Source organism: Homo sapiens, chromosome 2 (assembly GCF_000001405.40).
Source record: "Homo sapiens chromosome 2, GRCh38.p14 Primary Assembly".
NCBI classification, from domain to species: domain Eukaryota; kingdom Metazoa; phylum Chordata; class Mammalia; order Primates; family Hominidae; genus Homo; species Homo sapiens.
The window spans coordinates 11,617,460-11,643,022 of NC_000002.12; the positions used below are offsets into that span (position 1 = coordinate 11,617,460).

At 50.0% G+C, this 25,563-nt stretch overlaps 1 protein-coding gene across 20 annotated transcripts in view, besides 1 other annotated feature; it reads left to right on the forward strand.

The window, feature by feature from the left end:
* GREB1 (growth regulating estrogen receptor binding 1) overlaps window positions 1-25,329 on the forward strand; it is a 159,901-nt gene extending 134,572 nt beyond the window's left edge. For 19 of the 20 annotated variants that reach the window (XM_047446466.1, XM_024453251.2, XM_047446468.1 and 16 more), the window contains 12 exons: window positions 829-1,460; window positions 3,446-3,548; window positions 7,695-7,853; window positions 9,503-9,645; window positions 12,489-12,650; window positions 14,450-14,654; window positions 15,430-15,604; window positions 16,672-16,890; window positions 17,811-17,946; window positions 20,257-20,457; window positions 21,212-21,350; window positions 22,832-25,329. In XM_047446466.1, coding sequence (XP_047302422.1) covers window positions 829-1,460; window positions 3,446-3,548; window positions 7,695-7,853; window positions 9,503-9,645; window positions 12,489-12,650; window positions 14,450-14,654; window positions 15,430-15,604; window positions 16,672-16,890; window positions 17,811-17,946; window positions 20,257-20,457; window positions 21,212-21,350; window positions 22,832-22,995 — 2,438 coding nt within the window. In that variant the 3' untranslated portion in view covers window positions 22,996-25,329. Of the gene's footprint in view, window positions 1-828; window positions 1,461-3,445; window positions 3,549-7,694; window positions 7,854-9,502; window positions 9,646-12,488; window positions 12,651-14,449; window positions 14,655-15,429; window positions 15,605-16,671; window positions 16,891-17,810; window positions 17,947-20,256; window positions 20,458-21,211; window positions 21,351-22,831 lie in introns of those variants that run through there. The other variant, XM_047446469.1, reaches the window with a different exon arrangement.
* Window positions 13,586-14,785: an enhancer, noted in NCBI's record as "MED14-independent group 3 enhancer chr2:11771171-11772370 (GRCh37/hg19 assembly coordinates)". NCBI's record gives its function as "activates an origin of replication core promoter dependent on BRD2, BRD4, P300/CBP and CDK7 cofactors, and independent of MED14, by STARR-seq in HCT116 cells {active_cell/tissue: HCT116}" and the evidence as "EXISTENCE:reporter gene assay evidence [ECO:0000049][PMID:35650434]".

Genomic DNA, 25,563 nt, shown 5'->3' on the forward strand with positions numbered 1-25,563 from the left:
ATAAAAGACGTGTTATTTTGCAGTAGTCTTTTGCACACATTTTCACTTCACATATGAAGAAGTCTGTAATTTTGTCCCAAGGCAGAGGGCAGATTTCAGGGTAGGTGAGGTTACCACAGGTTTGAGAGAGCAGCTGACCCTCAGTCGGGCCTTGCGGAAGGTGTTGCAAGTGCAGGAAGCCTTAAGGGCCGAGAGGCTCAGGGGCGAGACGTGCAGGGCCTGGGTGCGGGGACGGGTGTGTGCGGTGGCCGCAGGCTCCTGTTGTTGGGGCCGGGGGTGTGCCTAGCTGTGGCTGAGGGAGCGGCTGAGAGTCCCTGCTGTTTGGTCTGGGACGGGGAAAGGTCAGAGGTCAGGGCCCACCAGGAGACTGGCTAGGGGGCATCTGGGGCCGCCCTTCTTTTCCCCTCACCTCCTGCGCCTGTGCACAGCAGTGAGCTGGTGGTTGGGGTCTCCCTCCCAGATGCCCCCGATGGAGTCAGCACTGAGCCTCTTCACCCTCAGCCCAGAGCTCGGGGACTGAAAGAAGCCCTGCCTCATAGGCAGGAGCTCAGTCAGAAAAGCTGCAACCACTGGGTCTGTTTGCCTGAAACAGTACAGGGGGCCTGGGGCAGAAACAGGAGCCGCCGGCAAGTTCTGGGACAGCTCACTCCTGGGACGAGTCGCCCCTGAGATGGGCCACTCCTGGGACAGGTCACTCCTGGGATGGGTGACTCCTGGGACAGGTCACTCCTGGGATGGGTGACTCCTGGGACAGGTCACTCCTGGGATGGGTGACTCCTGGGACAGGTACCTTCTAGGACGTCCCTGACCATGTTCGTCTCTCCTCAGGTTCAGCGCTCGGTGGCGAGTCCTCGGCTCAGCCCACAGCACTCCCCCAGGGAGAGCATGCCAGGTCGCCCCAGCCCCGTGGCCCCGCAGAGGAGGGCAGAGCCCCTGGTGAGAAACAGAGGCCCCGGGCAAGTCAGGGGCCACCCTCGGCCATCAGCAGGCACAGTCCCGGGCCGACGCCCCAGCCCGACTGTAGCCTCAGGACCGGCCAGAGGAGCGTCCAGGTGTCGGTCACCTCGTCGTGCTCCCAGCTGTCCTCCTCCTCGGGCTCATCCTCCTCATCCGTGGCGCCCGCTGCCGGCACGTGGGTCCTGCAGGCCTCCCAGTGCTCCTTGACCAAGGCCTGCCGCCAGCCACCCATTGTCTTCTTGCCCAAGCTCGTGTACGACATGGTTGTGTCCACTGACAGCAGTGGCCTGCCCAAGGCCGCCTCCCTCCTGCCCTCCCCCTCGGTCATGTGGGCCAGCTCTTTCCGCCCCCTGCTCAGCAAGACCATGACATCCACCGAGCAGTCCCTCTACTACCGGCAGTGGACGGTGCCCCGGCCCAGCCACATGGACTACGGCAACCGGGCCGAGGGCCGCGTGGACGGCTTCCACCCCCGCAGGCTGCTGCTCAGCGGCCCCCCTCAGGTGAGTGTTGCTCGCTGCCCCAGCACAGCCCCGGACTGGGGGGGTCCTCACACTCCCATCTGGAGGGCAGGCCTGGGGGTGACCGCACCCACGTCTTCACTTTTCACCCTTCCCGTGGTGGAATCTTCTCCAATGGCCTGGGGTGGACCGGAGGGAGGAGGGCAGGACTCATCTGCCACTCAGGGCTGGTGGCTTCCATTCCTCCCCTGTGTGATGTAGGGGGCGGACAGGAGACCTTTCTGGGTGTATCAGACTACGGTTCCTCAATCCACATCATCTCACTCGGCCACTGCCCATGTTCTCTGACAAATAGAAACAAAACTCTGGGTTCTCCACTGGAAGGTTTCGGTGAACCATGAACGGAGAACTAGGGGTTCTGTTTCCCTGTCTCAGCCTTCCTGCAATGCATGGTGTTTCCTTAACAACAAAAGTCCATTTCACCTCTCAATGGCAGAATCTCCTGTGCGTGAGCCTGTGGGGAGGAGGAGGGCTGGGGACTGGAATCTGCTCTTTGGAACAGAGCTGGGCTTTGGGGCTGGGATGCGGTTCAGTATCCATTTGTTTCTTAAACTTGTAGAATGAACAATATTACTTTTTCTGATTTAAAAAGGACAAAAGAAAATGTTTCTTACCAAGGAGTCTCCCTTCTTCCATACCCTCACACTATTGGATATTATCAGTTTAAAATCGTTGTCTCTTTGATGGGTGAAAAATAATACCTTACGGTTTTACTAGTAAGGTTGACATATTCTTGTGTTTTTACTGGTCGTTGATACTTCTTTTTCAGTGATTTTCTGGTTTCTCTTATTTGTTTTTCCTTTAGGCCATTTGACTTTTTCTTGTTGATTTGTGGAAGTGCTTTAGATATTACAGATTTTTGTCCTTTGTCTATCATCTGTATTGCAGATATTTTCTCTGAAGCTTCCCTGTGGTTGGGTGTCATATTTTCCTCTGTAAAGTTAGTTATTTCCATTCATTGGCATTTACTGAGTTGTAGCATGAACCAAGCATTGGGCTCGGTGCTTGGAAAGCACATCCCTGGAGTGGCTCTTTTGTTTATTATTATTGTTATTTTTCAGACGGAGTCTCGCTCTGTCGCCAGGCTTGAGTGCAGTGGCACGATCTCAGCTCACCGCAGCCTCCGCCTCCCGGGTTCAAGCGATTCTCTTGCCTCAGCCTCCCGAGTAGCTGGGACTACAGGCAGATGCTACCATGCCCGGCTAATTTTTGTATTTTTAGTAGAGATGGGGTTTCACCATGTTGGCCAGGATGGTCTGGATCTCTTGACCTCGTGATCCGCCCGCCTCAGCCTCCCAAAGTGCTGGGATTACAAGTGTGAGCCAGGAAACCCACGCCTGTAGTGGCTGTTTATACAGTGGTACAGGGAGGGTACTGGGCCAGACCATGGGTACTTCTCAATCAGTAATAACCAAAATGGACTAAGATTAATAGGAGGTATGCTAGCCTGAAGCTGGGCTGGGGAAGCAGGGAACTCTACGTTATAGGAAGCAGGAGAAGGAAGAAGAAGAAAGTTGTTCTTTTCCTGGGTTTAGAAGGAGAAATACGAGAAGCATTTTTTTTTTATGTCTTATACAATGAATTTTGCTGTCTTGTACAGACATAATGATTAAGACAAGCAATTTGCAAGATTCATAAGGCATGTTTATAGTATCCTATTTTTTTGAAGCAGCTTGCTTTGGCTTATGATAAACTTCTATTTCTAACAGCTTAAAAATGCGGCTGGTTAAAATCTAGAGATGCGTGTGCGACGATATTTAAGCAGGAAGGCCTTATGCTCGTGGGAGTCCATTTGTCCACCTGCCACGCTTCTTCCCTTCAAATATCTTTGCATCCACAGGGTTCTCATTTTAAAGACAGGATCTTCAAGTGAGGCAGATGTCAGGAGCCATGCCAGGTGTTCAGCCGGTGCCTGGCACGCGGATGGGGCTTCCTCACTGGGGGTTTTAACTCCTATACCTTTACAGATCGGGAAGACAGGTGCCTACCTGCAGTTCCTCAGTGTCCTGTCCAGGATGCTTGTTCGGCTCACAGAAGTGGATGTCTATGACGAGGAGGAGATCAATATCAGTGAGTTATCTGTTTGGGGTTATGTGGGCTTGGAGCCACCTTCATCACTTTCTCAAGTGACTTTAATTTTATATTTCACTTTCTAGATGGAATTCTCAGATTCATGATCAGACTCATCCCAAGGACCTTGTAGGGGGTGCTATTTATCTTGTAGTCATTTTTCTCAGTATCAGGCTTTTGCTGTAGTGATACAATTATGATTATTAGCTGACTGTTTACTGAGTACCTTCCACATGTGGAGCGCTGACCTAGATACTTTGCACAAGTTACCATGTCAATTTCTTAGGCCCAGGGTGAGATAGATGTTCCATTCTCCTGATAAATCACATGCTTGGGAGCCCAGCTGAGTAGTGGCAGGGCTGGAAGGAATTAGATTTGACTGCTGCCTCTGCAAAGCAGACTTACCCCTCAGGAGAGGTTTCCTGCTCAGGCAGCTGAGCAGGGAGGTCAGTGTCTTGGGGCAAAATAGAAATACATGAAATGTGGGGAAAATCCTGTTCTCATTTCCAGAACAGAGTTTACCCTGATTAAGGTCAGTTTCTTTTTGAGCACCCCTTTTGTGCTCATGTAAAATAACCTCCCCTGTTTCCTCCTCATCCCTCCTCCCAGTGGCTCATAAACTTGGTCTGGTCAATGAATCTGCTGTGCTGGGAGAGAGAGCTTGTCAGACGAGTCCTGTCTGTGTTGTGGAGAGGTTGCCAGCCAGCTGCACCAGTGTCTGAAGGGCACTTGGTGAGATGCTGTCGATTGTGCTTCAGTTTTGACTTGGAGAAAATTTGGAGCCAAGGAAGCCCATCCAGCCCTCGGCCTTCCCTCCCAGGAAAGGAGAGGCTCTTCAGCTGGCTCTGAGTTTTCTAAGGTTTCCCCACAGTTTGGAACCACATTTCAGATGAAGTCTGCAGCCCTGCTGAATTTGTCTCCTTGCTTTCTTGGACATACCAGTGATAAAGACAGGATTTGAACCCAGTTTGTTCAGTGTTAAAGCCCATTCTTTAAATCTTATCTCTTTTGTTGAATAGGGATAATTTCTCTATTATAGGGTTTTATGGGGATTAAATGTGACACACACAGAGCACCAAGACTGTTTTTTTTAGACAAATTCTAGCTATGTTGCCCGGGCTGGAGTGCAGTGGCACCATCTCGGCTCATTGCAACCTCCGTCTCCCAGATTCAAGTGATTCTCTTGTCTCAGCCTCTGGAGCAGCTGGATTTATAGGCATGTGCCACCACGCCTGGCTAATTTTTGTATTTTTAGTATAGACAGGGTTTCACCATGTTGGCCAGGCTGGTCTCAAACTTCTGACCTCAAGTGACCCACACGCTTCAGCCTCCCAAAGTTCTGGGATTACAGGTGTGAGCCACCGTGCTTGGCCAAAACCTATTAAATACTCATAGGCATTTCTCCCCTGCCTTCCTATGGACATGCACTCTGCCCATGTGTGTACTATAGTAGGACATGTATTTAATATAATCAACATGTTTTATAATTTGAATTGGGCCATCTAGATTTTTCTACCTTAGACACTTAGTAAGCACCATAGACTACAATGATCACCATGTGAGATGAGACATGGCAAATGGAAGAGTGTGGTTTGGGCTACGAATGTTGTTGGCATCAGAAGGGAGAAGCCCCTAGGCTGGAGCACTCTGAGAGGCTTTCTATAGGTGGAGTGACAGGAGCTGAGCCATACTGGCTGGGGGGCATTTAGATAGAGGCAAGAAAGGAAGCTATGCAGGTTTTGCTGGCATTGGCCACCAGTGTGGTCACCTGGGGGGATGGTGCTGGGGTGAAGCACAGGGCTGAGGTCCTCTGGGTCAGGACTCTGGCCGGAGTGGAAGTCAGACTTAGGGACAGGAGAGCAAAGCCATTCTCACAGCAAACAGCACAAGGCTGTTGCTCTGGATGGAGATAGCTCTGAATGCACATTCTTGCCTCATTAGAACATTCCTGAAAATGGAATATGTGTCAAGAGCCTTGCAGATACAATGGGGTTTCCCAGCAGCCCACGGACTCAATAACAATTCCACTCCAAGCATCATCCTTTGTGCGCATTTAAAATTTAGTCGTGCGCCACATAATGACGTTTTGGTCAACGGACTGCATCTGTGACGTTGGTCCCATGAGATTCTAGGGGAACTGAAAAATTCCTATCACCTAGTGATATCGTAGTCATCGGAATTTGTGGCAAGAGGCATTACTCAAGTGTTTGTAGCGATTCGGGTGTAAATTAACCTGCACTGCCAGTACTATCAACAGTCTAGCACATGCAATTATGTACAACACATAGCACTTGATAATTATAAACAACTGTTACTGGTTTTATGTATTTACCATACTTTTATTATAGTATACACCTTCTACTTATTGAAAAGCAGTTAACTGTAGAACAGCCTCGGGCAGGTCCTTCAGGAGATGCTTCAGAAGGAGGCATTGTTCTCATAGGAGATGACACAGCTCCATGAGTGTTGCTGCCCCTGAAGACCTTCTAGTGGGACAAGATGTGGAGGTGGAAGACAGTGATATTGATGATCCTGATGCTGTAAAGGCTGGGCGAGTGTGTGTGTGTCTGTCTTAGTTTTAACAAAAAGTTTTAAAAGTAGGGCCAGGCGTGGTGGCTCACGCCTGTAATCCCAGCACTTTGTGGGGCCGAGGTGGGTGGATCATTTGAGGCCAGGAGTTTGAGACCAGTCTGGCGAACATGGTGAAACCTCGTCTCTACTAAAAGTACAAAAATTAGCTGGATGTGGTGGCACGCGCCTGTAATTTCAGCTACTCCAGCCTGAGGCAGGAGAGTCGCTTGAACCCGGGAGGCGGAGATTGCAGTGAGCTGAGATGGTGCCACTCCATCCTGGAGTGACACTCCAGCCTGGGTGACAGAGCGAGACTCTGTCTCAAGAAAAAAACAACAAAAACAAATAAAAGTAGAAAAATTAAAATATTAAGCTCATAGAATAAGGATATCAAGAAAGAAGACATTTTTGATCAGTTGCACAATGTGTTTGTTTTAAGCTAAGTGTTATTACAAAAGAGTCAAAGAGTTTAAAAGGTTATAAAGTAAAAAAGTTATAGTAAGCTAAGGTTAACTTATTAATGAAGAAAGAAAAATATCGTTTATAAATCGAGTGTATCCTAAGAGGAGAGTGTCAAGTCTCCAGTAGTGCATGGCCATGTCCCAGGCCTTCACATTTGCTCACCGCTTACTCACTGACTCACCCGGAACAACTGCCAGTCCTGCAAGCCCCGTGCAAGGTGGGTGCCCGGTACAGTGCACTGTTTTACATTTTTTATACCATATTTCCCCCATGCCTTTTCTATGTTTAGATACACAAATTCTTTTTTTTTTTTTTTTTTTTGAGATGGAGTTTTGTGCTTGTCACCCAGGTTGGAGTGCAATGGCGAGATCTCAGCTCACTGCAACCTCCGCCTCCTGGGTTCAAGTCATTCTCCTGCCTCAGCCTCCCGAGTAGCTGGGATTACAGGTGCCCGCCACCATGCCCGGCTGATTTTTGTATTTTTAGTAGATACGGGGTTTTACCGTGTTGGCCAGACTGGTCTCGAACTCCTGACCCTAGGTGATCCACCTGCCTCGGCCTCCCAAAGTGCTGGGATTACAGGCATGAGCCACCATGCCCGGCCAAGATACACAAATGTTTCACATTGTGTTACAATTACCTGCAGTATTTAGTGCAATAACTTGCTGTATATAGCAACCTTATCCAACCCACAGGCTGCATGTGGCCCAGGACAGCTTTGAATGAGGCCCAACATAAATTTGTAAACTTTCTGAAAACATTACGAGATTATTTTTGCAATTTTTTTTTTAAGCTCAACAGCTATCATTAGTGTTAGTGTATTTTATGTGTGGCCCAAGACAATTCTTCCAATGTGGCCCAGGGAATCCAAAAGAGTGGACACCCGTGCTCACAGGTTAGTAGCCCAAGACCAGTAGGCTACACCACACATCCTAGTGTGTAGCAGGCTGTGCCGTGTAGGTGTGTGTAAGTGCACTCTAGGATGTTAGCACAGTGACAGAATCGCCTGATGTCGCATTTCTCAGAACGTATTCTGTGTTGTTTAGCGACACATGACTGTAAATCATTTTCACTTCCTATTTTGTCACATCTATGTTTCTACCAATCTTGTAGACCTCAGAGAAGAATCTGACTGGCATTATCTCCAGCTTAGCGACCCCTGGCCAGACCTGGAGCTGTTCAAGAAGTTGCCCTTTGACTACATCATTCACGACCCGAAGTATGAAGATGCCAGCCTGATTTGTTCGCACTATCAGGGTATAAAGAGTGAAGGTCAGACTTTGAATCTCTCGTTTCACCTTCCAGAGTGCATGGGCACAGCCTCTTAAAGGGATGAGCTGGATTTTGTTAGGCATGAAATCAGGTGGTGATGAATTAACCTGCCATACCTAGTACAGAACTGAGGTCACCACCTCCCTGTATAAGGAAGGGAGGAATGCAAAACCTGTGAATTGAAGAGTGTTGCTCAGGAAGTGCTAAGTGACAATGACGACACCCTTGCTGATTTGTCACCATTGGAATATTCTGAAGGCTGTGGTTAATAGAGGATAAAAGACGTGTATGTTTACTTATTAATTTGGAGTTATCAAAACGAGTACACGTGTTCACCTCTCCTCCCCCGGTGTCTTGATTTTTCCCTCCCTCAGGGATCCCCAACATCCATGGTGTGCTGGCGCTGCAGTGTACCGGGGCCATTGCGATTATAAACTTAGACTAGAAAAATTTGGTAAATGCCGTGAGAAAGGAAATGACTGTGTTAGTCCGTTTCACGCTGCTGATAAAGACATACCTGAGACTGGGTAATTTATAAAGAAAAAGAGGCTTAATTGACTCACAGTTCCACGTGGCTGGGGAGGCTTCACAATCGTGGTGGAAGGTGAAAGGCACGTCTTATATAGCAGCAGGCAAGAGAGAGTGAGAGCCCAGCAAAAGGGGAAACCCCTTAGAAAACCATTGCATCTCGTGAAAATTATTCAGTACCATGAGAACAGTATTAGGGAAACTGCCCCCATGATTCAGTTATCTCCCATCAGGTCCCTCCCACAACATGTAAGAATTATGGGAGCTACAATTCAAGGTAGATTTGGGTGGGGACACAGACAAACCATATCAGTGACCCACCAGTCTCCATTTCAAACCAACAACTTTATTGTCCTTGCTCTCAGAATAGATCCCTTGCACTGAGGATCCTTCTCGTAGGCCAGTCTCTAATGAAGGCTGAGTGTTAAAATCTTAATCGGCGAGGTCATTTGAAAAACAAGCAGGGGCCGGGTGTGGTGGCTCACGCCTGTAATCTCAGCACTTTGGGAGGCTGAGGTGGGTGGATCACCTGAGGTCAGGAGTTCAAGACCAGCCTGGCTAACATGGCAAAACCCCGTCTCTACAAAAAATGCAAAAATTAGCCAGGTTTGGTGGCGTGCACCTGTAATCCCAGCTACTCAGGAGACTGAGGCAGGAGAATCACTTGAACCTGCGAGGCGGAGGTTGCAGTGAGCTGAGATTGTGCCACTGTACTCCAGCCTGAGCGACAGAGCAAGACCTTGTCTCCAAAAAACAAACAAAAACAGAAAAACAAGGGGCAGTTCATCTGCATTCAGAGCTGGCATGTTAAGTTGGCAATCGATTTAAATTGTTGTATAGCGGATCTTTACATAGGTGCTGATGAAATATTTTTAGTCTACAGTAAGACATGATATGGACAGTGCCTTAATTAGTTTATTCCACTGACACTTTGTGGCCCTTCGTTGTCTCCTTTGACCAGCTGTCACGTCAGGGCCCAGGGAGGTGAGAGGCAGTCCTCCCCAACCAGACAGAATCCTGTTGTCTGGTCATTTGAGCATTTTTGGTTTCTGTTTGAGCAGGCAGGGGATAATGTTTGCTTTGCTCCCTGCTGCTTTTTAATCCTGGGGAATTTGGTGCAGACAGAGGGATGTCCCGGAAGCCGGAGGACCTTTATGTGCGGCGTCAGACGGCACGGATGAGACTGTCCAAGTACGCAGCGTACAACACTTACCACCACTGTGAGCAGTGCCACCAGTACATGGGCTTCCACCCCCGCTACCAGGTAGGCCCCAGCAGTTCCCCACCAGGCATTTCACCTTGGCTCACATTGTCCGTTCCCCTGCTCTCTCACGCTTTCATTCCAGAGTGGGAGATAGAGAGTTCTGGAAGCCCTGGCTTCCTGGTCTGCTTGCATCCTCTGTTCCCTTCAATTGTCTGTGAAATGATTGCTGGAACTAGAGCACCACGGTTCTCCTGGGGTTGTGTGTTTATCAGTGGCCAAGTTACCCGACCGTGGAGGTGGTCGTCATCTTTAGGTCCCAATGCTTTCAGAAGTTAGTCCAATGCAACAGATGCTCACCAGGTGCTTATTCTGTACCAGGCACTGGGGCTGCAGAGCTGAATCAACTCTGTCCCCATCCTCCATGCTCAGTCTAGAAGGGAGATGTGCACATAAGCAAAACCTAACGATATGAAGCAGGCAAAAGGAGTACTATGGTTGAGGCACAGAAATCCATTGATAAGAGGAGGAATTTGCATTTATTGAGCACCTACTGCATGCCAGGCAATGTGCCTAGGCACTTTTTATATATCAGTCTCTCCCAACCTTTTATGCAATAGAAAATATTTATCCTGGACACATAGAAATGGATAAGGCTCCTGACCCAGGGCTCTGGCTGCCTCAGGCCCTGGTGGGTCACCTGAAGCCACGCCTGCAAGCCACCCAAGGTGTGCTGGATGGGAGCTGTCCTATCTAGTGTCCTATTTACTTCACACTAAAATTTCATTGTCCCTGTTTTATAAATGAGGATCCTGTTTGGGTCGGGAGCGGAAGAGAGAAGATTTGGAAGAATTAATAAGAATTTGCCAAGGTGCCAAGAATTAATAAGATGAAGGGAGAGGGACAGCATGTGTGGGAGAGGGGAGGTGGGGTTTCCAGGGGATGGGAAGTGATGTGGGTTGGGTGTTTCTGGAACCCAGACTTTGGGGTGGGTACACTCAGCCACGAAACTCGGAGGGCAGGCAGAGGCCAGACCACAAAATGCCTGGTGGGCACTGTGGGGAGGAACGAGGACTCTCTCAGTGGGAACTCCAAGTGGAGCCCAGTGTGGGCAGAGCTGTGTTTAGACTGGTCTCTTAGTCCCATGGAGGTGTATGGAGGGCCTGTGAGGCTGGTTATTTATAAACAGGGCAGAGGATTTATTTTACATTGAATATTTCTTTTCATTTCAGACCCGAGCAAGGGAGAGAGGGGTGGAGGGAGAGAGCCAGAGTTGGTGGGAGCTAGTCAGATGCCTGGCTGGGGAGCAGAGGCATGTAGGGTAGCTGATGTCCTGGGCTGCTTTCAGAAAGGCCTGAGGCAAGAGCACTGGCCTCTCTTTCCATCCCTTTTACAGAGGGAAACAGCACCTGTCTGCCTGGCCTTGAGCTTGGCTGCCGGGGACGCAGCACTCATTGTTTGAGTGTGCAATTGTACTGTAGATGAAAGAAAGAACATATGAGCAATTTTTTAAGGGTCAAAATAATCAGTAATCCCATTTGTTCCAGATAAACTCTCCTAACATTTTGTTTCTTGGAGATGTAGTTTTTCTTTTAAGGCAAACAAAAACATACATGAAAACACGTCCTTGATTTTGAAATGTAGGGAACTGAAAGGGACTGAAGGGTGTCAGTCCCTACTCATCCCTGTCAGTGTCAGGAGTGGGTAGTGCCATCAGGACCTCGGGCTGCATCAACAGACACCAGAGTGCAGAGGAGGAGGAGAGGCAGCCGGCTGGGCTGTGCCTGGCCTGTGTTCTCAGGGGTGCGCAGGTCTGGGGGCCACAGTGGAAGAGGAGCATGCCTGGGACGGTGAGGGGGCTTGAAACCAGCTGGTGCGGGTGCAGAGGCCGCGTGGCCCCCTGGCTGCCCTCTCCATGTGGCCTGCACCTGCTCGTTCTGTTTTCTCTTCCTTTGCCTCCCAAGGCTCCCTTGACCTTTTTTATGAAACTGCCTCAGTGTGTCCTCCTTAACTGCCTCCCCGAGTCAAAATCCCTTTCTCCCTCATCTCTGCTCCCAAAGAAAGGGCTCTGTGGGTCTAGAAGAGCCATGGCAGAGATTAAAGCAGTGTGTGCTCGTCTGCCTCCTTCCCTGCAGACCCTGGATGCATGCATAGCACATGCTAGGAGGGGATGTCAGTAGGAAGGGCCGTGGGTCGGTGGGGTCGTAAGAGGACGTTCAAGCTGAGGGCAAAGCTGCGCTGGAGGTCACACCCAGAGCAGCACGTGCACAGATGTGGGGTGTGAGGCTCCTGGGAAGTGGAGGCTGGAGGAGGTGACTAAGGGCGCAGCCAGACTTGGTGACTTGGTGACAGAGCCCAAGGTCTCTGAATGTCAGTTTTCACACCTGTAAAATGGGGATGATGACAGTACTGCTTTGTAGGATTGTTAATCGCAGCACACAGGACAGAACGGTGCCTGGCGAGCCGTGTTATAGGAGTGTCCAAGCATATGCAGCTAGTGTTAATATGTGATTGCATGTAACTGTGATGGAGAAATACATTTATTAGAATTAAAAATGAGCTCTGTAGCATGAATGCTTGAGTTGGTGACCCAGAACAGGGCTCTGGTCAGGTTCAAAGCCACGGGGACCAGAAAGCTTGATGCCTGCTTGGCACAGCAGGGTGAGGCCCCATGCGGACTGAGGATGGGAGCAGGCTCTCGTCGTGGGTGTGTGGCCTCGGGCGTGCTTGCCCTGTCAACAGACCTGGGTGTCTGCACTTTGCACTGGAGTCACCCCGTGGGTTTCTTGTGCTGTAGGGAAGTGGTGACTGTGAGCTGCACGTTGTCACAGCAGAGTGGGCCTGGGGTCTTCTGGGAAGCAGGCCGGACTCTGACGGCAAGCTCTGTCCTTTCCCCCACACCCCAGCTGTATGAGTCCACCCTGCACGCCTTTGCCTTCTCTTACTCCATGCTAGGAGAGGAGATCCAGCTGCACTTCATCATCCCCAAGTCCAAGGAGCACCACTTTGTCTTCAGCCAACCTGGAGGCCAGCTGGAGAGCATGCGACTACCCCTCGTGACAGACAAGGTACTGGCTCAGAGACCTAGTGGGACAGATCCAAGTGGCTTCAACTGGGGACTGAGCCGGGGACTAGAGACAGAGCTTCCTGTGAGGGAGTGCAGACACCGATACAGGGACTGAACTTGGAGGAGGCTGGTGTCGCGCACGGGCTCTGGAGTCACTCCAATTCAAGCCTCAGCCTTGCTCTACCATTTACTAGTTTTGTTACTTGAACATGTCACTTAATATCTGCAAGCCTTGGTTTCCTCATTGTTACATTGGAGAGTAGCAACTTGCAAAAGCTTGTGGTGAGAACTGTTTGGAATAACTGATGAAAGGCCCTATCTTCCGTGCCCGGAAGATAACAGGAGCTGGGTAGACGTTCATCCCCTCCCTGTCTTTTCTTGAATGCTCTGCCAGGTAACATTTTGCGTAGGCTTAGGTAGATAGGACAGCACAGTGAATCCCTAGGGCCCATTACCAACTCCAGCAATTGCTAACTCATGGCCAGCCTTGTTTCATCCGTCCCTCTCTCCTCTTCTGCCTTCCTGTTTTGTTTGGAAGTAAATCCCAGACCTCAAATCATGTCATCTATCTATACATATTTATACCTATAGATATAGATATTTCAGTGTGTCTCTCTAAAAGACACATTTCCTTTATCTTTTGAAGAGGTCGTTCTGAACGTTCCATTGTCTCTCACCATTCTTACAGAGATGCTCCTTGTAGAGCTTTTGGTTTGACGGTGCTCACCTGATCACCTCAGAGTCAGTTGGCTGCTCTTTAACCAGCCCCGCTCAAGGCAGGCCATGTGGAGAAGCTGCTTTTCCTTCTCCAGAGTGCTAGGCACCTGTGGAGTTGCCCCTGGCCTTTCAGATCTGGCAGCCTGTTATTAAGCAGTGAAAATATTTGTAATGTACCCAAGAGGACTTCATTGTTAGGTACCTCCTACCCCACGGGCTGGGGTTGGGTGTTGCGGTGAAATTCCAGGGGTGAAATATGAGAGCTGGGGTTTCTCCACCACTCCACTCACCTTCCAGCCTTCCTGGCGGAGCTGGCCATGAGCACCAGCTGCATGCACAGTGTTGTGGCAGGTGCTCTGAGGAATTCAGAGGGAGCAGAAGGCCTAGCTCTGCCAGTTGAACTTATTGTTAAAGAAGGAGTTGAAGAAAACAGTTATTTACATAAAAGATATAACAACCCGAGTGGATAGCTAAGCTCTATGGGGCAGTGATTGGGGGGTGTTGTGTGTTCATTTGCATGGAAAATTAAAGACATACAAGAATAATGTGTGCTCTGGGCACAATATTAGATTCTAATATGAGAGGGTAATGAATTTGGTTAATTGCTATATGCCAGTTAATTTCCGTTGCCTAACTATTCCCAAATAAGCATTAGCTTTGGGATCTGTGGGCTAGCAGTTTGGGCTTGGTTCAGCCGGATGATTTTCTGGGCTCTGTTGTGCTCACTCACTCGTGTCGATAGTGAGCCAGCAGGTTGTCTGCGGGCTGGCTGGTGGCCTCAGCTGGGCTGTTCAGCTCTCCTCCATGTGGTCTCTCATCGTCCAGCAGGCTAGCCCGGGCTTGTGCATGGGAGAGTTCTGAGAGGGTGTGGAACATGTAAGTCCTCTTGAGGCTATGCCCAGGACTGGCACAAGGCCATTTTTCCTCCCTTTTACTGGTAAAAGCAAGTCACAAGGCTGAAAATTCCAGCAGTGTAGGCATGGTCATCATTCTTTGACGGAAAATACTGCAAAGTCACATGTCAAGGGAATAATTGCAGCCACATTTACAAACACTCTACCTCATGATACCTGTACTTTGCAGAGCCATGAATATATAAAAAGTCCGACATTCACTCCAACCACCGGCCGTCACGAACATGGGCTCTTTAATCTGTACCACGCAATGGACGGTGCCAGCCATTTGCACGTGCTGGTTGTCAAGGAATACGAGATGGCAATTTATAAGAAATATTGGCCCAACCACATCATGCTGGTGCTCCCCAGTATCTTCAACAGTGCTGGAGTTGGTGAGTGTCCTTTAACATCATCTACTCAGTCAAACTCCTGTGAACGAACACTTGAGAGAGTGTTCTAGAGACAAAAGTTAAACATGTGACATCAGGCCTTTTACTTTTGGACTTTTAAAGCTATTTTCATTTTGTCTGACTTTTTTATGCAGTCTTCCCCCGCTACCCGCACCCAGTGTTTGGTTATCCATTTAATCGATATTTTCTTTCTTTCTTTCTCTCTTTTTTTTTTTTTTTTTTTTTGAGATGGAGTCTCGTTCTGTCATCCAGGCTGGAGTGCAACGGCATGATCTCGACTCACTGCAGCCTTTGTCTTACGGGTTCAAGCGATTCTCCTGCCTCAGCTACCCGAGTAGCTGGAATTACAGGCGCCAGCCATGACGCCCGGCTAATTTTTGTGTTTTTGTAGAGACGGGGTTTCACCATGTTGGCCAGGCTGGTCTTAAACTCCTGACCTCAGGTGACTGGCCTGCCTCGGCCCCCCAAACTGCTGGGATTATAGGCGTGAGCCACTGCGCCTGGCCAAATTGATATTTTCAATGGTTAGAGAAGAAAGCATAAGAAAGCAAATTTGTGTTCCACCTGGAGAGGAGTGTTTTCCTCCCTGTAGTTTTCTCTCCCTAGCCCATGGGCTGTGTTTTGTGACAGGTGATTCATGTCAGGAAGGTCGGGGCTGGCTTGTCTGGGCGGCCCCGACAGCAGGTCTGCCTGGGGTCTGTCTGCTGTGGGTGTGGGTGCAGGTCAGTCCTGAGTCCAGGTGCTTTGCCCACTGCAGGTGCTGCTCATTTCCTCATCAAGGAGCTGTCCTACCATAACCTGGAGCTCGAGCGGAACCGGCAGGAGGAGCTGGGAATCAAGCCGCAGGACATCTGGCCTTTCATTGTGATCTCTGATGACTCCTGCGTGATGTGGAACGTGGTGGATGTCAACTCTGCTGGGGAGAGAAGCAGGTGAGGTAACCTGAGAGCACCACCTCCTGCCACCCTACGAATGATGACCAACGAGTGTGCCCTCTTTGTATGGGGAATGTGCCCACCCCTGGAAGACCGGAGGGCCTCTCATAGTAGAAGGGGTGGTTGTGGTTGTGGTTCCCAGAGTCCTGGGTGTGGTAAAAGTGAGCTCATGTGCCAAGCCTGGCTTGCTTTTAATTTTAAAAAATTGTTATTGGGCCGGGCGCGGTGGCTCATGCCTGTAATCCCAGCACTTTGGGAGGCTGAGGTGGGTGGATCACGAGGTCAGGAGATCGAGACCATCCTGGCTAACACGGTGAAACCCTGTCTCTACTAAAAATACAAAAAAATTTAGCTGGGCGTGGTGGCGGGCGCCTGTAGTCCCAGCTACTTGGGAGGCTGAGGCAGAAGCATGGCGTGAACCCGGGAGGCGGAGCTTGTAGTAAGTGGAGATGGCGCCACTGCACTCCAGCCTGGCAGACAGAGCGAGACTCCGTCTAAAAAAAAAAAAAAGAAAGAAAAAAATTGTTATTGAAGTATAATGCAGAAAATCACACTATCCATTTAGTATAATATATAGACAAAAAAGAAAGTATAATACATATACAGAACTTTTCCCAAGCTAAGCACATTCATTTAACCTACTCCGATATTAAGAAAGGGACATTGCTGCCCCCCCAGAAACTCCCTTCCTGCTGCCCCAGCCCCACCCCTCCTCACTAGCCTGACTGCTGACTCCTAGCTTTATTTTTATTTGCTGTGTGGCTTTAGGCAAATGGCTAAATCATGTTGGGTTCTAGTTTCCTTGTCTGCGATTAATACCTATGCCATGGAGTTGTTGTGAGAATTGACTAAATTATGGTCTGCAAATGTGTTCAGCACATAGCAGAAATGAGCGCCCGTGGGAAGCGCCCAGCAGGGTGCCTGGCCCTGGGGGGACTGTGCGGGGCACCGGCCCGTCCAGGTGTTCACGGCAGTCTGAGAGCCGGTGCCACACTGCCTGGTCCCAAGGACCTTGCTGCTGCTCGTGTGTCAGCCTAGGGACTCACTCTCCCTCCTTGGAGCAGGGAGTTCTCCTGGTCGGAAAGGAACGTGTCTTTGAAGCACATCATGCAGCACATCGAGGCGGCCCCCGACATCATGCACTACGCCCTGCTGGGCCTGCGGAAGTGGTCCAGCAAGACCCGGGCCAGCGAGGTGCAAGAGCCCTTCTCCCGCTGCCACGTGCACAACTTCATCATCCTGAACGTGGACCTGACCCAGAACGTGCAGTACAACCAGAACCGGTGAGCTCCTGCACCTGGGGCAGAGGCGGCGGCAGCCCTGGGGGCGCAGAGTCCTGAGTGAGGGCAGCCTGGGGCTGCAGAGGCGTCCTGGCTGTGAGCACTGACCTGGCCTTGCTCTCCGTTGTCCCAGTTTTTTTAGTGCTGAATAATTTTGAGTATTCGCAGATCATTCAGCTTCATTCACCAATTCTCATGATGCTTTATTGAGTGAGTTATATTGGACTGTGTGTTTTTCTTGCCTTTTTGGTTCATTCTCCCAATACATTGCTTTTTAGAAGCTTTAGCCCTGAAGAAAATGATAATTTCCGTAGGTTTCTGTACATATCTAGTCGCAGAAGTGCTCACATCTCCAGAGGATTCAATTGCTCAGTGTTCACGGAGTACCTCTCCACTGGGCAGTGGACCACGGCCTGCGTGAGCCTCTCAAAGAGGGTGGGCTTTGGAGCCAGACTGACTGCGCCTCCAAGAACCGGGGTTCTGCTGCGTATTAGCTTTGCAGCGCAGGCAGGCCACTCACCTCCAAGCCCTATTCTTCTTAGCTGTAAAAAGCAGCTCACGTTTTTACCCTGGGAGGTTTTTTGTTGCTTTCTTTTTCACCGATGCGTGAGGTCGTGTTGGTAACGTTTCTCACGTGCACTTGGCCCTTGGCCTCTGGTCACCACGGGCAGTGCTTTTGTGGTTTAAGCATGAGGTACACACTGCCTTTCCTGTGCAGAGATGGCCCTGTCTGTCCTGTGCGTTTTCCTTGTCTGTTTTGCCTCATATTTCCCCTAGAGTAAGGAAGGTCTTGAGGCAAGAATGAAGCCCACTCCACCTTCATAGCCCCCTACGATGGGGACCCACACTCTAGGTGCTGGGGGCAGTGACGGAGGGTGTGAGCTGTGCCCCATCAGACCCACCCCTCCTCTGGCCCTGAGTAGGTTCCTGTGTGACGATGTAGACTTCAACCTGCGGGTGCACAGCGCCGGCCTCCTGCTCTGCCGGTTCAACCGCTTCAGCGTGATGAAGAAGCAGATCGTGGTGGGCGGCCACAGGTCCTTCCACATCACATCCAAGGTGAGCTCCTCGCTGCTGGGCAGGCCTCTATGTCCACCGCCTGGGCCGCCCTGGCACACACACTGAGGGTAGGAGCCATTGAGGGAGGCCATGTCTCTTTCAAGCGCATGGGGCAGGGCCCTACTGGGTGGGGTCAGTAAAGGTTTTTAATCGGCATTGAGCCCTGGGAAATGATGGGGTCTCTCTTCTACCTCTGACATTAACCAGTATCCTGCAAGCTTCCTCTGGGTGCAAGGCTACAACCAAGCCTTCCTGTGTGTTCTCACCTGCCCCAGCTGGGTGAGGTCTCAGGCCACGCTCTTCCTTGGGCCCCTGGGATGGTGCCTAGTTGCATAACTATTTGAATGGCTCTGCAGGCTGGCCCCATAGTCATACTATGTGTCCACTGGGCAGCCTCGGGGTGGGGAGAGACCTGGTATGATTATGTGTGTTCCAGCTGAGCAGGCCTGGGGAATTAAGACGTAAAATCACAGCAAGTCTTGATAGCTCTGTGTCTTCCAGGAAGCAATGCAGCAGGTGTGTCTCTGCCCGAAGTTCTCCCCAGTCCCGTGGGCCAGAGCCCCTTTCTCTGTCACTTCTGTCTGTCTTGATCCTGCCCTAATGCCACCAGCTGCCTTTCCCAGGCTCTATCCCTCCTTGTCTCTGTAAACTCCTGATGGAGTTAGCTACGCTGAGGTGGGCTGGGTCTGAATTGGGACACCAGCTCCATCTCCACTGACCCCCAGAGTCAGGGATTGCCCCTTTTCCGGGAGTTGGGGGCCTCTCCTCATTGTTCTTGCAAAGTAACAAGACCTTTAAATAAAGGCCCCCACTTACAGCATCATTGAGATCTTACGATTGTGTGAGGTTTGTTGTTTAATCAGGGAGAACAGACACCTTTACCAGGGTCTCCACCAAAGGGCCAGATGTGGCTTTAAAACGAACTTTTCTTTTGTGTCCTTCAGTGTCATTTTTAAACTCTTAGGTATTTTATCTTTATTATTGAAACATAATCTTAATTTTCTATTATGTTTGATTGTATATTGGTTATGCATAAGAAAGCTAGTCATGTCTTACAGTCTTTCATGTGAGTGAAATCACTGCATTGTTTTCATTTATTCACTAAATATTTAGTGAGCAGCCAATCCCCATGCTCAGGAGTACCCAGCCCAGCAGCTGGGGCAGATGTTAGACACATGGCTAGTTAAGGACCATCGGGAGAAGCACCACAAAGGTGAAGTGTGTGTCGCGGGGAGACCTGAGTCTGTGGGAGTCCCCAGGGAAGTGATGTTAAAGGAGACCTGGAGGAAGAGAGTGAGCCACGTGCCCAGGCAGGGGCAAGGGCAGGGGTAAGGGCATGGGCATGGGCAGGGGCAAGGGCAGGGGCAGGGGCAGGGGCACGGGCATGGGCAGGGGCAGAGGCAGGGACAGAGGCAGGGGCAGGGACAGAGGCAGGGACATGGGCAGAGGCAGGGGCAGAGGCAAGGACAGAGGCAGGGGCATGGACAGAGCCAGGGACATAGGTAGAGGCAGGGGCAGGGACAGAGGCAGGGTCATGGGCAGGGACAGAGGCAGGGGCAGGGACAGAGGCAGGGGCATGGGCAGAGGTAGGGACAGAGGCAGGGGCAGGGACAGAGGCAGGGGCATGGGCAGAGGTAGGGACAGAGGCAGGGGCAGGGACAGAGGCAGGGGCAGGGGCAGAGGCAGGGGCAGGGACAGGATGCCTTCAGTGGGTGAAGGTGCAGAAGGGTAGGAGCGAGGAGGTCGGTATGGAGGAAGGGGAGGAGGGTGGCGGAGAGGAGCTGAGGAAGTAGGCAGGCCTTCCCAGCTATGGGAAAGTTCCAGACTTTTCTCTAGGACTCACGGGAGGGAAGCAGTGAGAGTCTGATTTACGTAGATGTAAACGTGTTGGTGATGGAGCAAGAGCCTGTGGCTGGGATGCTGACTGTGGGTGGGAAGAGCCCCGGGGCTGGGCGGGATGGGGACAGGACCTTTGGTGGGGAGCTGGCCACTCCCAGAGGCTTGCATCCCCCAGACCCATGGGTTCTCTTGTTTTCTCTAGACCAGAAAGCTGGTTTCCTGCATGGAATGATCAGTGTCTATAATTCTTACTGATTAGGGTGGTTCGTTTTGACGTGTCTGTTTCATGTTTCCTTTGAGTAAAACCTAATCTTTCTCAATAGAGAAGTTTATTCTTGAAGTATGTGTTCTCAGTTCATTCCCCTGAGTGACACAAGCTCCCATGCTTGGGCCACCCTTGCAGCCCGGAAGCCATGGGAAGGTCCTCGCCCCTCAGGGCAGTAGTGGCCTGACACCCCCCTTCCCGTGCAGGTGTCTGATAACTCTGCCGCGGTCGTGCCGGCCCAGTACATCTGTGCCCCGGACAGCAAGCACACGTTCCTCGCAGCGCCCGCCCAGCTCCTGCTGGAGAAGTTCCTGCAGCACCACAGCCACCTCTTCTTCCCGCTGTCCCTGAAGAACCATGACCACCCAGTGCTGTCTGTCGACTGTTACCTGAACCTGGGATCTCAGGTGACTTTCAGAGGGGGTGCTGTCGAATCCCTAATTCAGAGAAATCTCTAGAACCAATGGGCTGGAATCTGGGACTCTGAATCCTAAGTCCTCAACTCCTTCGTCTCGGGGTTGACCCCACTTTGTAGGTTTTGCCATTCAGCTGAGAGAACTGAGATGCTTTGCCTGGAAGTAAGACGATAGGAAGCCAGCCCAATTCTGATGCCCAAACTTTTGTTTGTTTGTTTGTTTGTTTGTTTTTGAGATGGAGTTTCACTTTTGTCGCCCAGGCTGGAGTGCAATGGCACGATCTCAGCTCACTGCAGTCTCTGCCTCCTGGGTTCAAGTGATTCTCCTGCCTCAGCCTCCCAAGTAGCTGGGATTACAGGCACATGCTACCACGCCTGGCTAATTTTTGTATTTTTAGTAGAGACAGGGTTTCACTATGTTGTCCAGGCTGGTCTCCAACTCCTGACCTCAGGGGATCCACCCGCCTCGGCCTCCCAAAATGCTGGGATTACAAGAGTGAGCCACCGCACTCGGCCTAAATATTCTGATTCTCAGATGAACTCATGACTAGATAAATCTGGATAAAACTTCCAGAATTTATTTTTCAGATACAGATTTGGAAATAACATGAAAATATTGTCTCTGGCCCCCCAAAAATCTTGAGCTGGACCAAGCAGTTGGTATTTACTAGGTGCAAACCTGTAGTATAATGTTACTGAGCATTTCATAGAAAACGGTGCCCTCTCTTGGATTTCTTCTTTTTCAGATTTCTGTTTGCTATGTGAGCTCCAGGCCCCACTCTTTAAACATCAGCTGCTCGGACTTGCTGTTCAGTGGGCTGCTGCTGTACCTCTGTGACTCTTTTGTGGGAGCTAGCTTTTTGAAAAAGTTTCATTTTCTGAAAGGTAACTTTTGTACTCTTAACTCTGCACCTTGTCTTCAATGGCTGTAGTCACCGGGTACCCTGAGGAGGGGACCTTTGGTCCTAGTCCTTATTTGCCCATGGGTAAACTGAGGATCAGAGAGGGAAGTGACTGCCTCAGCCACCCAGGGAAGTGCAAGAGAGCTGGGATTTGATCCCCGGGGGCTCTCTTTCCCCTATACCTGTTTGGGTAGAGGCAAGACACATCCCCCTTTCTTTTAGATGAATTGCGGACATTTTTTAGCCTTTGTGTTTCTTTTCTTTCTTTCTTTCTGGTTTTTGAGATGGAGTCTCGCTCTGTCACCTTGGCTGGAGTGCAGTGGCACGATCTTAGCTCACTGCAACTTCTGCCTCCTGGGTTCAAGTGATTCTCGTGCCTCAGCCTCCCGAGTATCTGGGATTACAGGTGCCCGCCACCACACCCAGCTAATTTTTTATTTTTAGTAGAGACAGGGTTTTGCCATGTTGGCCAGGCTGGTCTCGAACTCCCGACCTCAGGTGATCCACCTGCCTCGGCCTCCCAAAGTGTTGGGATTACCGGCGTGAGCCACCGCACCAGCCATGTGTGTTCTTTTCCAACCCAAATCCTTCACATCGGTGTCCCAGTCGTTGCTGACACTCTTCCTCCTGGTAGACGAGTCTTTCTCCTCATCCTGGGAGGTGCCACACCACCTTGGCTTTTACGCCAGTCTTCCTCCTGTCTGCACCAGCTTGGTTGAGAATGACAAGCACTTGTTCTGCATGACTTGAAAACACGATTTCCAGTCTGCATTTCCAGTCCTGCTCAGATCCCTAGCTGACCTTCGCTTTCCTTGGTGGCCCTTGGCTCTGACCTTCCCCTCTAGCAGGCACTGAATGAGCACCAGCAGCATCTAAGGCCTTGGGAAAGATCAAGAGGTTTTACAGCAGTCTCTGCCTTGGGAAACATTTCATCTAAAGGGAGGACTGGACACAAAGGTGGGGAGGGAGCAGAGAGGGACAGTGTGGAGGAGACTGGGTTGAGGTGTCGCCAGGTGCTGGGAGTTGAGAGGAAGGGGAATTCCTGTGGCTGGCACGTGGGACAGTGGGGGCTGCCCCAGGCCTGGATGGGTGGCAGAAGAGGGGGATGAAGCTGTAAGGTGGGGTAGGTAGGGTGGGGTATGTGAGCTACCGGCTGGGGCTGAGGATGCTTGGTTTGCGATTCCACCAGCCTCTCTCCTTCCTCTCCGCACCTCGGTTCAGTCCCTGCTCGGCTTTCCTTCTGCCTCCGTGTTTTCTCCCCCGCACACCTGCCACATCCCAGCCACACTCCTGTCTCGCTAAGATTGTACATCATCCCGAAAGAAGCAAGGGGCCGACTTGGATGCCGCTTCTGCCCTTCCCAACAGCGCCCTGTCTTGTCATTGCAAGTAGAATCCGGGCAGCCGCTTTCCTCTGGATAAACTCACCTTTTCCCTTCCCACACCTCTGCCGTTGTCCACGCAGGTGCGACGTTGTGTGTCATCTGTCAGGACCGGAGCTCACTGCGCCAGACGGTCGTCCGCCTGGAGCTCGAGGACGAGTGGCAGTTCCGGCTGCGCGATGAGTTCCAGACCGCCAATGCCAGGGAAGACCGGCCGCTCTTTTTTCTGACGGGACGACACATCTGAGGAAGACAGCGGCGAGTTTTCTGAAGAGATGAGTGCTCAGAGCCCTCATGCTGTTGAGGCTAAAGGGAGGCCTGGAACGGTGGGGCGTTTGACTGGAATGGACCCCAGGGACTGTCCAGGTGCAGCCCCTCCTAGTACACATGGGCCCCCGAGGCCGTGGTCCTGGGAGCCAGGAAGACTCCGCAGTGGGTGAGAATGAAAACTTGAGACTCCCAAGTTCTGGGCCAGCCCATTGCTCTGGGCTGTTTTAAAGCCCATTTCACGAGGAACAAAGATTTACTTCCTGTCCTGCCATTCGTGTGCTTCCATGGACAAACCTGATTTTTTTCTCTTAGTTCTAAAGAATCTTGGGTTATTTTGTAGCGGTGCCAGTATTTCAGTAGATGGGATTTCAGCCAAGTAGGTTCCCCTGTAACCTCCTACAAAGCAATATTCCAAAGGAACATTTTAACTGTAAAGGCTGGAGACAAGAAAAAATAAGTAGATCGTTTTAATAACAATTATTTAATTGCCTATAAGTTTGCTGTTTCAGAGGCTAGCCCAAAGGCATCAAATTTAATAAAGTTAAACAAATTGATTTACTTCAGAGCAAATATGATCCTATTAAAATAATATAGGGTAAATACCCTACCTCTTAGAAAGGGCAAAAATGCAAAGAAGCTTTCTTTAAAACTAAAAGGGTTTTTTGGGGGGGGAGTTGGCGGGGAGGAAATAAGGCTAACAGAGGTTGACCTAAAATTAGCCTTACAAAGGAGAAAGGACCACATTGCTTACTTGAAACAGACAATGAAAACAACCAAAGTGATATATAAAATAGTTGATGAGAACTAGACTTATGACTGTAGTTTACTAGAGTTTAGTTTTCAGTTGCTGAAGTAGCTCATTTTCTCTTACTAATGTTTGGTTCCTCAGGGAAGAATCTCACTTGACTAGAGAGGAGGTGGGAACAGAAGAGAGAAGGAGGCAGGGAGATGTATTTCTTAGGGCTCACCCCTTCACAGACTGACAGAATGGTTTTGTTTTGTTTTGTTTTGTTTTGTTTTGTTTTTGAGATGGACTCTAGCTCTGTCACCCAGGCTGGAGTGCAGTGGTGCGATCTCGGCTCACTGCAAGCTCCGCCTCCCGGGTTCTCACCATTCTCCTGCCTCAGCCTCCCGAGTAGCTGGGACTACAGGCGCCCACCACCACGCCCGGCTAATTTTTTGTATTTTTTAGTAGAGACGGGGTTTCACCATGTTAGCCAGGATGGTCTCGATCTCCTGACCTCGTGATCCGCCCGCCTCGGCCTCCCAAAGTGCTGGGATTACAGGCGTGAGCCACCGTGCCTGCCCCAGAATGGTTTTTAAAGCCACAGTTGAGAGGCCACCCATTGCCCGGCGCCTGGACAGTGATCATCTTGTTCATCTTGTTCAGTCCTTTCTTGTGTGATTGGAATTATTCATCCCCTTTGAAAGATGAGAAGGTTGAGATGCAAAGAGTCTACCTTTCCAAGTTCTCACTGCTGGAAAGAGCTAGAAGCACAGTTCAAAGTTCTGGCTTCTGGACTCTGCAGTCCAGGTCTCCCTTCTCCCACTTGCCTACCCTCAATGCCACACTGTTTTTGAAGTGGCCCATAACTTGAAGGAAAAGTTTAAAGACAGTTCAATTTAATCATCAGAATGCATTCTTTTTTTTTTCGGAGACGGAGTTTCACTCTTGCTGCCCAGGCTGGAGTGCAATGGTGCAATGACCTCGGCTCACTGCAACCTCTGCCTCCTGGGTTCAAGTGATTCTCCAGCCTCAGCCTCCCGAGTAGCTGGGATTATGGGCGCCCACCACCATGCCCAGCTAATTTTTGTATTTTTTTTTTTTAGTAGAGATGGGGTTTCGCCAGGTTGGCCAGGCTGGTCTTGTGAACTCCTGGCCTCAGGTGATCTGCCCACCTCATCCTCCAAAAGTGCTGGGATTACAGGCATGAGCCACTGCGCCTGGCCTCAGAATGCATTCTTACACATCTATCCTAGACATTTATAAGCACTCTAATGGATAACAATCCAAGAATAAATGATTGTAAAAGATGATGCCGAAGAGTTGATGTCAATCTTTTTTTCCTAAGAAAAAAAGTCCGCGAGTATTAAATATTTAGATCAATGTTTATAAAATGATTACTTTGTATATCTCATTATTCCTATTTTGGAATAAAAACTGACCTTCTTTAATCATATACTTGTCTTTTGTAAATAGCAGCTTTTGTGTCATTCTCCCCACTTTATTAGTTAATTTAAATTGGAAAAAACCCTCAAACTAATATTCTTGTCTGTTCCAGTCTTATAAATAAAACTTATAATGCATGTATTGTTTTGTTGGTGAGTATTCATAGCACTGTTTCGAGATAAGGTAGTGTGGCTAGTCATCTCTGGGGACTAGCTGCTTAAAATGGATAGTTTTGGAAAAGAAATAAGAATAAAACCATAAAAGTGGAATATATTAACATGTTGCAGAATTCCTGAGGATAAAAAGGCAGACTGCATTGGACGTGCAGGAGAACAAATATGGAGGAAACCAGCTCAGAATGTGCAGAGAAGCCTG